General features: G+C 40.0%; 1 protein-coding gene across 11 annotated transcripts in view; it reads left to right on the forward strand.

The window, feature by feature from the left end:
- Positions 1-15,572, forward strand: part of EML1 (EMAP like 1) — a 204,339-nt gene that overhangs the window by 117,439 nt on the left and 71,328 nt on the right. For all 11 annotated transcript variants that reach the window (XM_005267398.3, NM_001375411.1, NM_001440377.1 and 8 more), the window contains exon 3: positions 10,354-10,486. In XM_005267398.3, coding sequence (XP_005267455.1) covers positions 10,354-10,486 — 133 coding nt within the window. The remainder of the gene's footprint in view (positions 1-10,353; positions 10,487-15,572) is intronic.

Here is a 15,572-nt window from a genome sequence, read left to right on the forward strand (position 1 = left end):
GTATATACTGTATCATTTCAACTAAATAGACAAAATTTATGCAAAGAAGACTGGAATGAAGTACTGTATAGCAAAAGTAATTCACGGGTTTTTTCCTGAGTAATAGGATTATGAATTTTTAAATACTTTTAGTTAGTTTCTAAATGTTCTGTGGTGTGTATTTCTTAATAAGCAGAAGAAATTTGTGTTCTAAAAAATCACTTCTTTCTTTGCATTGAATCTGAGGTCAACAGCAGGGCTCATGGCAAATGTCAGGAGGCCAGGGGTTTACTCACATGTGTTTTCAAGAAGACAGGGAGTAGTTTGGAGTTCAATCAATCCATTGTATACACACACAGCTGATTTTCATTTTAGTGCAGGGATTTTTAAAATGTAAAATGTAGATGAAAATATAGTCATTGTGCCATGTATCTGGGATTGTCTATTTTGTTATGCATTAACCAGTGAGTAGCTCATATTTCCCATTTGAAATTTTGCTTGTTTGTTCAGACTAGTTAGGCAGCTTCCCTTTTAAAGTACTTTAATATGAAATACTTTAATATGCCTTTGCAACTTTTACAATCAGTTATACCAACTAGTGGATCTATGAATTAGAATATCAAAGAATTATAATAATTATTGGCTTCATTAATTAATGGATCAGAGAATTACTAAATATAACCAGAAGGCTTCTGTTGGGGAGGTTAATAAGCAAGTCAGTCCTGTCATTCCAAGACATCAAAACCCTCTAGCCTCAGTACATAGCCTCTGCAACCACTGTCAAAAGCCAACTACAGATTTTTAGCTGTGAGAAGCCTGTGCTACACTGGCACTTAACACTGATATTCAGAATACTACTCATAGGTACCATGTATTGATTGACTAAGGGCTGGACTTTGCAGCAGACATTTTGGATGTATTCACTCATTTCACCCCTCCACGTTTCTGTGAGGCAACTATCATTGTGCCCATTTTATAGATGAGAATGAAACCTCTGGGAGGTTTAGTGATTTGCCCAGGCTACACAAGGGCTAAATCTGGGACTGGACCCCAGGGCCCGGCTGGCATGTTCTTTCTGCCATCTGCATTGCCTCACTGTGCATGCCTCTAGCAGTATTCCATAAGTTAGCATTATTCACATTAAACCAAATATTTAAAACATGAATATAATTTGAAAATCTTTTTTCAAGGTTTAATTTGATTTGCAAAGTGTGCCAAATACACTAGATCATATTCAGCACATCATTGTGTGAAATACTATGTTACGGTCTCTTCACAAGTTTTATTAGGTAGGTGCAACTGACAAATTAAAATTTTTAAGCTCTTGGCAGTCAATGACATTAATGAATAATTAACTTAGTTCTTTATCCTGGTTAACCAAAATTAAGGAGCAAGTGGCTTTTGCTTTTTCTCTTGTCTACTGCACCTTCTCCTTACAAATTGGCAAATTACAGAAAAAAATCTTTTCTCTTTTGCTCTTTTAGATAGAACATACTATAGTTTCTTTTGTTTCTCTCATTAGCTGCCCTCTCCAGTTTAGATAGATATTCTGTAGTGATTTATAGAAAAGGGTTTAGTAGATGTTTGTAGTTTTTCAGAGATTAAAAAAGACGTTTCAAATTTTGTATTATGAAAATGTTCTCAAATGTGTACAAAAGTAGAAAGAAGAGTACCTTTTACCTGCCATTCTCATTTATCAATATGTGGTCAGTTTTCATTATGACCCTCTCCCACTACCCCTCACCCCATATTGGATTATTTTAAAGCAAATCTAAGACGCTATATCATTTTATCTGTAAATATGTCAGTATGTATTTCTAAGATATAGACTCTTTTTTAAAGTCCATAATGGCTGGGCATGGTGGCTCATGCCTGTAATCCCAGCACTTTGGGAGGCTGAGGCAGGTGGATCACTTGAGCCCACGAGTTAGAGACTGGCCTGGGCAACATGGTGAAACCCCACCTCTACAAAAAATACCGAAATTAGCCTTGTGTGATGGCGTGAACCTGTAGCCCCAGCTATGCTGGTGGCCAAGGCAGGAGGATCACTTGAGCCCAGGAGGTCGAGGCTGCAGTGAGCCGAGGTCACACACTGCACTTCAGCCTGGGCAACAGGGCAAGACTCTGTCTCAAAAAAAAAATAAATAAATAAAGCAAAAATAAAAATAAAGTCTATAATACCATTATTACACTTAAAAATTAATAATTTCTTAATATCATTTAATAGCAAGTCAGCATTCAGATTTCCCTAATTGTCCAATGAATGACTTTTTAATAGCAGTTTTATTGAAATATAATTCACATACCATAAAACTGACCCTTTTAAAATGTACGATTCATTGATTATTAGTATAAGTTGTAAAACCATCACCACTATCTAATTTTAGAAAATTTGTATCACCCGGAAAGAAACTCCTCACCCATGAGCGGTCATTTCCAGTTGCTCCCTCCTCCCAGTCCCTGGCAACTGCTAGTCTACATCATGTCTCCATAGATTTGCCACCTTGGATGTTTTCTGGAAATGAATTCATACAATATGTGGTCTTTTGCCACTGTCTTCTCCCACTTAGCATACTTGTTTTCAGGGTTCACCCATGTTGGATCACACATCATTCCTTTTCATTGTCAAGTAATATTCCACTGGATGCAACATTTTGTTTATCCATTTATCAGGCAATGGGCATTTCAGTTGTTAATAAATTACTTTATGAAATCAGTTCATTAATGTCTTTTTCCCCATTTATATTTCTATTATATTGAATTTTTAATGTTACAGGATTCTTGCACTCCTAGACCCATGCCTAAGAATTCAAATGAAAACGCATGGTACAATGGACAGCCCCATCTACATGTACCTTTTGATAATTTCGAAACCTTTTTAAAGTGATGCAGTAAGAGACAGTGTTTTAACTCTGCTGCAGGGTTTCAGGTTTCTGGACAGTAGATACAAAGTAGCATGCTCTCTTGTTCTGAACCTTGCTCTTTTTACTTAGCAGTGTGGCCTACAAGGCATTCCTTTGCAGTGTCTAGAGCTCCTCCTCATTCCTTTTTTTTTTTTTTTTAGGCAGAGTTTTTGCTCTTGTTGCCCAGGCTGGAGTACAATGGTGCGATCTCAGCTCACCACAACCTCTGCCTCCCAGATTCAAGCGATTCTCCTGCCTCAGCCTCCCGAGTAGCTGGGATTACAGGCATGCACCTCCACGCCCAGCTAATTTTTGTATTTTTAGTAGAGACGGGTTTTCTCCATGTTGGTCAGGCTGGTCGTGAACTCCCAGCCTCAGGTGATTCACCCACCTCGGCCTCCCAAAGTGCTAGGATTACAGGCGTGAGCCACCGCACCCAGCCTCCTCATTCCTTTTACAGCTGCACAGTGCTCCCTTGCTAGGAGATGCCACAGTGTATTCAACCAGTCCCTGCAACAGGCTTTGGTTTTGCAAATTGTGCTGCAGTGATTGGCCGTATGCGTAGGGCATTTTGTATTTTTGCCAGTCTCTTTAGGACAGGTGCCTAGAAGTAGGGGTGCTGGGTCAGAGGATACGTGCACCTGTGATTTTGCTGGATGATGGTGATGGTGATGATAGGAATCTCCTCCAGCACTCAGCTAATCATCTACTTTGTCTTATAACTTAGCAAAAGCAGGTTGCCTTTTCCAGTTCTAAATACAGACATCTTTTAAATTTTGAAATGGATAATTAGGAATTCTAGCTTCATAGTGGTTAGATATGTTAAAAGTAAACTTTGGATTTCCTCATATAATCATATATGTAATCATGTTTTTAAGCCTAATGGGAGTTTTATATATCAAATAGTGCACATTGCATTATTGATGTGATGTAAGTTAAAAGCATTTCTTGATCATTAGATTATAACTTAATATCAAAAAAATGCATTAGTAGATTTGGCTAGCTTTACTAGAACTTCTAGATTTATTCATATCAACTGTAGTTTTGAAAATATATTATCATGGATAGTGCTTTTTGAAGTCTGGTTATTCTAATTCAACCATTTAGAATGATGAAAAAAATTTATTTCAGGCTTAATTATGAATGTGTTTGGACCTGAGATTTTTAATACCTTAGTTAGATTTTCAGTTACCAAACTATGGAGTCATATTGCAGGGAATCTAACTCAAGGTGGTTTAAATAGTATGAAATATAACAGGAAACTGCTGAGCATAAATACCGCACCTGTTACTGGAAACCAGTCTTCAGCTTGGTTGCCCTTCTCCCTTCACTTCCAGCGGGTTGGTAGGGTCTGTTCTCAGAGAGGCCAACTCATTGGGAAACTCAAATGTTGCTTTACAGAACACGCTTCTCACATGAATGAAAGACAACAGATTTCAGAGTGGGAAGATACCTTAAGGAACATTTTTGAGCAAAGGCTTTCCTTTATGGGTAAGGAAAATTGGACCCAGAGGACCTTGCCTGTGGACACCTGGCTAGGTGGGGACACAGCAGGGACTGGCGCCCCGGCCCCTGAATCCCAGGCCTGAGTTCCTTCCCCTCCTCTCCACTACCTCCCCCACTCTGCCTTGGTGTAAGCACAGGAAGTAAGTGGCTGGTTTTGGGGGAGAATGTGCCTAGGGTTCTACTCCAAATCTGTGTACAGGATATGCAGCCCATGGGTTCTCACTGGCTCTGATTCTGCCTCTGGTACCACTTGACCATAGCATTTTATTCTCTTCACATTATATTCACGATACAAAATTGCACCCATTGTCCACAACAGAGCATTTTATTGTCGGGATGTAGCCAGGGGATAATGGCTACCACTTCTAGGGTGTCTACTATGTGCCGGGCACTGTACTAGAAACTTCGCATTGCTCATTCCTAGTCCTCACAGCAGCCCTGCAAGGTGGGTGGGCACTCTGACCTTATTTTAGAAAGAATCCAAGGCGTGTGCTGTGTCTTCCAGCTCAGCTGAGGATGAGTCCAGTCCTGTCTGCCTTGAGGACCCTTGCCCTCCTTCACCTGGGCACCTCTTACCCCCAGAGACAGGATTCCAGCCATCCTGCAATCCTTCCACCGGATGCGTTCCAAACACAGCGTTTCTCAGGCTCCTTTCATCTGAGAAATTCTCCTTTTGGTGCTGTGTTTGTTGTCGTGTTTTGCCTCTAGGAAAAAGTTAATTTTTTTTTTAAAACAACCCTTTCATGAACCAAAAGAATCTCTCATATCTTAGTGTCATCTGGAAGCTAGGGATCCATTTACCTTAGCACATGACGAGCAGAAAATTGTGTTTGAAACTTCCCTGCTGCTATGTCACTTCTGCATTTTTAAAGAGCACTTATCTGAAAATGATTCATTACAGCTGCTCCTCTTTCCTGTCATCTTCAAGATCCAGGCTGGCACCTGTTCAGACTCAACACTAGGAGGTATTTTTCCTTCCACCAGGTTTTCTTACCGCAGCGAGCTTTCTTCCTTGAGTGGCTAATAATTTTTATACATGGTAATGTGAAAGAAACCTGGCGTGATGGCATGTGCAAAATAGGTACTTAGTAAGCGTGCTGGTGGTGGGGGTTACGATGCTATTTAATCAGTCAGTGGTTACAAAAACCCAAGGATGTTATCAAGACAGGGATGAGCAGCAATTGGATCTTGCCGAAGTTGGGATCTATCCAACTTCTCAGTCATTCCAAGAGTAGTCAGTGTGTGTCCCCCTCCCCCTTCCCATCCCTCTCCTCTTCCTCCTCTTCCCACCCTCTATTTTTCTTTCATGATCTCTCATCACAACTTTAATATTCTACTTGCTTCTGATGCTACTCTATGATATTTTAAGATATAAAATATACACTCTGGGAATGCCTCCTGCATTGCATCTGATTTTCTTTTCATGGGCTTTTAAAATCCTATTTTCTATTTCTTCTTTTGAGAAAAGGACAACAATAGATTATTATGAGATTGAATTTTGAAATTATCACTCAAGAAAGAATGAACAACTTAGTAGTAACTCCAAAATGGCAACATAATGTCTGCTCTTAGAAGCAAGGCTTTCGTTACTGAAATTAAACCAAGTTACATTTCCAGTGTATGTTCACTCCCTTCTGTGTGTAGGCCTGGGAGCAGGTACTAGCTTCAAGGATCCTGCAGTCAGTGGAGTAGACAGACTATTGGATTTAGCGTTCCAAGTGTGATGACGGTGGCCAGGGCAAGGCGCTGTGGGAGCATGGAGGAGGCCCCACTTTCTTTTACATTAAAGAGAGAAGGAAGATTGGCCCTCAGCTTTAGGGACTGGAAAGTTCCAGCAAGTTAAAAATTTGGCATAATACACAGTTTTGTTGTTGGTAATATTTTAAGAGCCTAAATGGAGGCAGATTTAATTCTATGATGAACAAAATCTGCTAGCTTTTTTGTTTGATTGGAGATGGAGTATCACTCTGTTGCCCAGGCTGGAGTGCAGTGACAGGATCTCAGCTCACTGCAACCTCTGCCTCCCGGGTTCAAGCAATTCTCCTGCCTCAGCATCCTTAGTAGCTGGGATGACAGGCGCATGTCACCACGCCTGGCTAATTTTTCTGTTTTTAGTAGAGACGAGGTTTCACCATGTTGGCCAGGCTGGTCTCAAACTCCTGTCCTCAGGTTATCCACCTGCCTCAGCCTCCCAAAGTGCTGAGATTACAGGAGTGAGCCACCATGCCTGGCCTCTGCTAGCATTTTTAAATGAACTTTTTATTTTAGGATAGTTTTAGATTTCTAGAAAAGTTGTAAGCACAGAAGGTTCCCATAGACCCAGTACCCAGTTTCCCCTGTTATTACCGTCTTACATTAGTATGGTACATTTGTCACAACTAATGGATCAATATTAATACATTATTATTAATTAATGACCATGCTCTATTGGGATTTCCTTAGTTTGTCCCTTAAGCCCTTTTGGTTCCAGGTTCCCATGCAGGATAACACATTATCTTTAGTTACCCTGGCTCCTCAGCCTCCTCCAGGCTGACAGTCTTCCTTGTTTTTGATGATCTTGACAGTTTTGAGGAATACCTGTTAGAGGGTTCATTGACTATCCTTCACCTTGGCTTCGCCTGATGTTTTTCTCATGGATAGACTCAGCTTATGGGCTTTAGGGAGGAAGGCACAGAGGTAAAGTGCCATTCTCATCTTATCAGCACATCCCGTCCAAGGGTGCATGCTATCAACATGGCTCATCACTGTGGTTGTTGACCTTGGCCATCTGGCTGAGGGGGTGTTGGTCAGGTCTCTCCACTGGAAAGTAACTTCTCCCCCAACTTCGTCATGTGGCTGTTAGAAGGAAGTCAGTATGTGCCAGCTACATTTAAGGAGTGGCAGATTATATTTTACCTTCTTGAGGGTGGGGTAGCCACATAAATTATTCAGAATACAGCTGTATGGGGATTTGTCCGTTCTCTTCATTTATGTATTTACCCAATCATTTATTTATATATACTGTAGCATAAACTTACAGATACTCGTTGTGTACTTTGGGTTATAATCGAATACTATGTTATTTGTTTTGTGGCTCAAATTGTTCCAGCTTTGGCCTTTGGGAGCTCTTTCAGTTAGGTTTTGTGTCCGTTTGACTTGCCCCCACCAAAATAGTGTCTTTTGGTTTTGTTGTTGTTGTCTGAGCACTTCTTTACTTTCTGGCACCACAGAAGACTCCAGATTCATGTGCTCCCTGCCCCAGCCGTACGTGCTGCTGCTTCCCCTGAAGGCATGCTTTCTTCTGCTGTAGAATGGCCTTGGAAACCAAGGTTTGGGCATTAGGTGTCATTGCTTTAGGCCCTGTCAGCAGACAGAGCTCAGAAACATGTGTTTATACTAACCTGTGTGTGTGGGTGTCTATGTATGTATTTATACTTACATGTCTGCATCTGTGTTAAGGGAAACCTGAGTCCACACTGATGTCTCTACTCTAGTGGCACATGGTTCATTCCCGCCATCTGCCCTTGCTTATCCATCACCTCCCTCTCCAACAGTGAGAGACCTGCCGCTGCCATCCTCCATCCTTTTATGTAATTGTTCCATCCTGATGTTCCTGTGTAGTGGTTTCAGAATTGTTAGCCTCCACCTTTGTGGGAAGCACCCTTACTAACTAGAATACAGTGCTGATGCGCAGTTCCTGTTATCTTTAGTTTTACAGTCTCTACTCATTTCCAAAATGACTTAGGTCAGCATCTTCCTGCCCCCCACTACCTTCAGTGAGGTTGTCATATGTTTGTCATACAATCTTCATTCCATCATGGGGTTTCCCTGTCTCCTAGATGGTTTTACTTGCATACTTCAAGGTTCACTCTTGGTGCTGTAAGGGTCTCTGGGCTTTGACAAGGCATCATGTCACATATGCCCCATGATGGTATCTTACAGAATAGTTTTATCACCCTAGAAGACTTCCTGTATGTCACCTATTCAGCCCCTGCCCTGCAACCTCTGACAGCCACAAATCGATTTTCTGTCTTTAGTTTACCTTTACTCAAATGTCATATAAATGCAATCATACAACATGGAGCCTCTCAGACTTGCTGCTTTCCCTTAGCAATGTGGATTTCAGATGTGGTTTGCTTCATTCCTTTTATCACCAACTCATATTCCATTGTATGGATGGGTCAGTTTGTTTATCTGTTCACCTATCAGAGGACATCTTGGTCGCTTCCCGTTTTTGACGATTGTAAATAAAGCAGCTCTAAATATTTACATGCGGGTTTGTGTAGACATAAGTTTTCAGATCAATTGGGTAAATACCTAGTGTCAGTACAATTACTGGATCATATGGTGAAACTATATTTAGCTTTATAAGAAACTGCCAGACTGTCTTCCACAGTGGCTGTACTATTTTTCATTCCCACCAGCAAGGAATGAGAGTTCCTGTTGATCGGCATCCCGGCCATCAATTGGTATTTTGTCTGTCTTTTTGGATTTCAGCCATTCTAATAGGTGTATAGAAGTATCGCATTATTGTTTTAATTTGCATTTCCCTAATGACAAATGACGTTGAGCATCTTTTCATATGCTTATTTGCCATCTGTATATGTCTTCTTTGGTGAAGTGTCTTTTCAGATCTTTTGCCCATTTTTTTAATTGGGCTGTTTGTTTTCTTACCATTGAATTTGAAGAGTTCCTTTTATGTTCCTTATACAAGTCTTTTATCAGATACGTGATGTGCAAATATTTTCTCCCAATCTATGCCTTGTATTTTAATCCTCTTAAGTTCTTTTGCAAATTTTTAAAAATGTTAATGAAGTCCAAACTATCAATTTTTTTCTTTCATGGATTGTGCTTTTGGTATTATATCTAAAAACTCATCACCAAACCACTTTCTTCTAGAAGTTTTATAGTTTTGCATTTTAAATTTAGGTTTATGGGCTGTTTTAATTTTTGTGTAGGGTGTGAGGTTAGTGTCTAGGTTGCCTTTGTTGAAAAGATGATCTTGGCTGGGCATGGTGGCTCTCACCTGTAATCCCAACACTGGGAGGCCGAGGCAGGCGGATCACCTGAGGTCAGGAGTTCGAGACCAGCCTGGCCAACATGGCGAAACCCCATCTCTACTAAATATACAAAAATTAGCTGGGCATGGTAGCCAGCACCTGTAATCCCAGCTACTCAGGAGGCTGAGGTAGGAGAATCGCTTGAACCCAGGAGACCGAGTTGGCTGAGATTGTGCCACTGCACTCCAGCCTGAGCAACAAGAGTGAAACTCTGTCTCAAAAAAAAAAAAAAAAAAAGAAAAGATGATCCTTTCTCCAAGGAATTGCCTTCATACCTTTGTCAGTGCTGCTGGTGTTTCAAAATTCATGTCCTTTTCCTTTCTACTTAGCTTATGTTCTGTAAAACAGTGGTCTCCAGCCTTTTTGGCACCAAGGAAATTGTGGAAGATGATTTTTCCACAGAAGTGGGGCGGGTGGTGGGGATGGTTTTGGGGCTATTCAAGCATGGTACATTTATTGTGTACCTTCTTTCTTATTATTTATTGTGTACCTTCTTTCTTACTATTACATTTTAATATATAATGAAATAATTATACAGCTCACCATAACGTAGAATCAGTGGCAGTCCTGAGCTTGTTTTCCTGCAACCAGATAGTCCCATCTAGGGTTGATGGGAGACAGCGACAGATCATCAGGCATTAGATTCTCATAAGGAATGCTCAACCTAGATCCCTCGCATGCACAGTTCACAAGAGTTTGCACTCCTATGAGAATCTAATCTGATCTGACAGGAGGCAGAGCTCAGGTGGTAACATGAGTGATGGGTAGCAACCGTAAATAGAGATGAAGAGTTGCTCACTCGCTCACTGCTCACCTCCTCCTGCTGTGTGGCCTCATCTTCCTAACAGGCAGTTGAGGACCCCTGCTGTAAAATGTTACCTTTGCAAAGGGGAACTTTCTGATATTATTTTCTGCTTGTCTTACAGCAAGACCACTGATGCAGACCCTGCCTTTAAGAACCACGGTCAACAATGGCACTGTGTTACCAAAGAAACCTACTGGCTCTCTACCATCCCCCTCCGGGGTCAGGAAAGAAACTGCTGTGCCAGCAACCAAAAGGTGAGCCAGAAGCAGGGCCTTAAATGAACTCTCAAAGCAGTTCTCTCTTAGATTCCAACATGAGTATTACTTTTTAAAATGACATTGTACAATTTCTTCTGTGAGTTAAAGCTTATAAAAGTCCAACATTTTATATGGTGCCATAACAAGAACTAGTTAAGTTTATTATTATTCTTGTTTTAGATTTACTTGTGTTGCCTTTGAAACCTCACTGGCTAAAACCACAGTGTGGTGTTTTGTATTTTTACTTAAAGTTCTCTTTTGAAAAAACAAATGTTAGTATAACCTGGGTAAAAATAAATAGCTGTTCCCAAGTCCATACTGGGAACATGGCAAAATTCAGATTGCCATAGCAACCTTAGATTTTTCTCTATGCAATTTGGATAAGCTCATACTTTCAAAATGTACCCAACAATGGAGTCTAAATATTGATGTTATCTGTCACAAAGAGCACAGTTTGCTCTTAACTTTGCTATTATTTTGTAATTATCATTTAAAGATTTTTATATTTTAGGGCCAGGTGCAGTGGCTTACACCTATAATCCCAGCACTTTGGGAGGCCAAGGTGGGCGGATCACTTGAGCTCAGGAGTGTGAGACCAGCCCACCTTAACCATTTTTAAGTGTAGAGTTCAGTAGTGCTGGCCGGGCTTGGTGGCTCATGCCTGTAATTCCAGCACTTTGGGAGGCCAAGGCGGGCAGATCATCTGTGGTCAGGAGTTCGAGACCAGCCTGACCAACAGGCGAAGCCCTATCTCTACTAAAAATACAAAAATTATCTGAGCGTGGTGGCACATGCCTGTGATCCCAGCTACTTGGGAGGCTGAGGCAGGAGAATCGCTTGAACCTGGAAGGCCAAGGTTGCAGTGAGTCAAGATTGCACCATTGCACCCCAGCCTGGGTGACAAGAGCAAAACTCCATCTCAAAAAAAAAAAAAAAAAAAAAAAAAAGAGTTCAGTAGTGTTAAGTATATTCACGCATCTATTGTTGTGCAACAGATCTCTAGAACTTTTTCATCAGGCAAAATAGAAACTCTAGACCCATTAAATAGTAACTCCCCTCTACTCTCCCCACTGCCCTTGGCAACCACCTCTCTACTTTTTGTTGCTATGATTCTGACTACATTAGGTATTTCCTAGGAGTGGGATCATCTAAGTAGTGCTTGTTCTTTTGTGACTGGCTTACTTTGTTTAGCATGATGTCCTCGACATGCATCCATATTGTAGCATGTGACTGATTTTAAGGCTGGATAATATTGCATTGTGTGTATATATCATATTTTGCTTTTTATCTTAATTTTAGGTTCAGGGGGTATGTGTGCAGGTTTGTTACAAGGGTATATTTGTGATACTGAGGTTTGGGCTTCTGTTGATCCTGTTACCCAGATAGTGAAGATAGTACCAAATAGGAAGTTTTTCAACCCTTACCCACCTCTCTCCCACCCTCCTTTTGGAGTCCCCAGTGTCTCTTATCCCCATCTTTATCATATTTTGTCTATACATTCATCCATCAGTGGCTATTCTGTACCATTTATCTGCACATCTGTCCTTATGGCCAATACCCTACCATCTTGATTACTATTGCTTTTTAGTATGTTTTAAAATCAGGAAATGGGAGGCCCCCAACTGTATTCTTCTTTTTCATGATTGTTTTGGCTATTTAGGGTCCCTTGATATTCCATATGAATTTTAGGATAGTTTTTTTCTATTTCTGCAAAAAAATGCCTTTGGGATTTTGATAGAGATTGCATTAAATCTGCATATCACTTTGAGTAGCATGGAGATTTTAGCAATATTAAGTCTTCCAATCCATAAACATAGGATGTCTTTCTCTTTTTTTGTATTTTCTTTTAGCAAAGTTTTGTAGTTCTCAGTGTATGAGTCTTCTAACTCCTTGGTTAAAGTTATTCCTAAGTATTTTATCCTTTTTGATGCTTCAGTAAATAGAATTAATTTCTTAACTTCCTTTTCAGCTTGGTCATTGTTATTATATAGAAATGCATCTGATTTTTGTGTGTTGGTTTTGTACCTGAAACTTTGTTGAAATTATGTATTAGTCCTCACAGTTTTCTTCTGGAATCTTTAGGGTTTTCTAAATATAAGATTCTGTCATCTGTAGACCGATAGTTTTACTTTGGATCCTTTCCTATTTGGATGCCTTTCATTTCTTTCTCTTGTCTGATTGCTCTGGGTAGGACTTTGAGTACTATGTTGAATAATAGTGGCAAGAGTGGGTATCTTGCCTTCTTCCTAATTTTAGAGGAAAAGCTTTCAGTCTTTTACCATTGAGTATTATTTGAGCTGTGGCCACTCAAATATGGCGTTTATTACATTGAGGTAGTTTCCTTCTATTCCTAGTTTGTTGTGTTTTTTTATCATGAAAAGGAGTTGAATTTTGTCAAATGCTTTTTCTGCATCAGTTGAAATGATCATGTGGTTTTTGTCCTTTATTCTGTGAATATTGTATCACATTGATTGATTTTTATGTGTTGAATCATTCTTGCATTCCAAATATAAATCCTAATTTGTCATGGTATATAATCCATTTAATGTGCTGTTGTTTTCAGTTTACTAGTATTTTGTTGAGGATTTTTTCATCAGCATTCATCAGGGATATTGGTCTATAGTTTTCTTTTCTTGTGTCTTTGTCTGGTTTTGGTATTAGAATAATGCTGGCCTCATGCAATGATTTGGAAGTGTTCCCTCCTCCTCAATTCTTTGGAAGAGTTTAAGGAGCATTGGAATTTATCCTTTTTTAAATGTTTGATAGAATTCTCCGCTGCAGCCATTGGGTCCTGGACTTTTCTTTGTTGGGAGGTTTTTGATTACTGCTTCAGTCTCCTTACTAGTTCTAGGTCTGTTCATATTTTTTGCTTCTTTATGATTCAGTCCTGGTGGGCTTTGTGTTTCTAGGACTTATCCATTTGCTCTAGGTCACCCAATTTGCTGGCATATGCTTGTTCACAGTGGTCTCTTATAGTCCTTCTCGTTTTTGTTATATCCGTTGTAATGTCCTTTCATTTCTAATTTTAGTTATTTAAATTTTCTGTCTTTCTTTGTTAGTCTAGCTAAGGGTTTTTCAATTTTGTTGATCTTTTTTAAAAAAAACAATTCTTGGTTTTGTTGATTTTTTTCCTATTGTTTTTCTATTCTCCACTTCATTTATCTCTGCTCTAATCTTTATTATTTCCTTCGCTCTGCCAACTTTTGGTTTTATCTTCTTCTTCTAGTTCCTTGAAGTATAAAGTTAGGAGGCTGATGTGAGATCTGTCTTCTTTTTATGAAAACTTTGATCACTATAGACTTCCCTCTTAGTACCCCTTTCACTGCCTCCTGTAAAGTTTTGGTATGTTGTGTTTTCATATGTCTCCGGATATTTTTAAAATTTCTTTGTGATTTCTTCTTTGACCATTGATTGTTTAAGAGTGAGTTGTTTAATTTAAAGATTGACTTTTTATTGTAGCAAATACATGCATGCCTCATTTTATTGTGTCTGGCTTTATTGTGCTTTAGAGATACCACATTTTTTTTACAAATTGGTGGTGGTGGCAACCCTGTGTTGAGTAAATCTATCAGCATCGTTTTTCCAACATGTACCCACTTCATGTCACATTTTGGTAATTCTTGCAACATTACAACTTTTTTGTTATCATTATGTCTGGTATGGTGATCAGTGATCTTTGGTGTTAATACTGTAATTGTTTTGGGGCACCAAAAACAGCACCCATAGAAGGTGGCAAACTTAATCCATAAATGTGGTTTGTGTCCTGACTCCTCTGCCCATTGTTTCCCCATCTCTTTCCCTCTCCATTGGCCTCCCTTTTCCCTGAGACACAACAATATTGAAATAAGGCCATTTAGTAACCCTATAATGGCCTCTAAGTGTTCAAGTGAAGGAAGAGTCATACATTTTTCACTTTAAATCAAAAGCTAGACATGATTCGGCTTAATGAGGAAGACATGTCAAAAGCCAGGATAGACCATCATGTGGTTTAGATGTTTGTCTCCTCCAAATTTCATGTTGAAGTGTGATCCCCACTGTTGGAGATGGGCCTGGGAGGAGGTGTTTGGTTCATCAGGGTAGATCCCTCATGAACGTATTGGTGCTGTCTTCACAATAAGTGAGTTCTTGCTCTGAGTTCACTCAAGGTCTGGTTGTTTAAAAGAGCGTGGCACCTCCTCCCCACTTGCTCCCTCTCTTGCCAAAGGACGTGCCTGCTCCTGTCTTGTCTTCTGCCATGATTGAAAACTCCCTGAGGCCGCACCAGAAGCTGAGCAAATGCCGGTGCCATGCTTCCTGGACAGCCTGCAGAACTGTGAGGCAATTAAACCTCTTTTCTTTATAAATTACCCAGCCTTGGGCATTCCTTTATAGCTGCACAAAACGGACTCATGCAGGCCTGTTGTTCCAAACAGTTAGCCAAGTTATAGATGCAAAGAAAAAGTTCTTGAAGGAAATTCGAAGTGCTACTCCAGTGAACACGTGAATGATAAAAGAAAAAAATAAAAAGCAACATCCTTATTCCTGATAGGGAGAAAGTTTGAGTGGTCAGAATCAAAGATCATACGAGGCACAACATTCCCTTAAGCCAAAGCCTAATACAGAGCAAGGCCTTAACTCTCTTCAATTTTATGAAATCTGAGAGAGGTGAGGAAGCTGTAGAAGAAAAGATTGAAGCCAGCAGAGGTTGGCTCATGAGGTTTAAGGGAAGATGCCCTCTCCATAACATAAAAGTGCAAGGTAAAGCAGCAAGTGCTATTGTAGAAGCTGCTACAGGTTATGCAGAAGACCTAGCTAGCTAAGATAACTGGTGAAAGCAGCTACACTAAACAACACATTTTCAATGTAGATGAAACAGCGTTACATTGGAGGAAGGTGCCATCTAGGGCTTTTATATGAGAAGTCAATACCTGACTTCAAAGCTTCAAAGGACAGACTGACTCTTGTTAGGGCCTGATGTGGCTGGTGACTTTAAATTGGAGCTAGTGTTCATTTATCATTCCAAAAATCCTAGGGCCCTTAAGAATGATGCTAAATCTCTGCCTGTGCTCTATAAATGGAAGAAAACCTAGATGACAGCACATCT

The sequence above is a fragment of the Homo sapiens genome, chromosome 14 (genome assembly GCF_000001405.40).
Source record: "Homo sapiens chromosome 14, GRCh38.p14 Primary Assembly".
NCBI classification, from domain to species: Eukaryota; Metazoa; Chordata; class Mammalia; order Primates; family Hominidae; genus Homo; species Homo sapiens.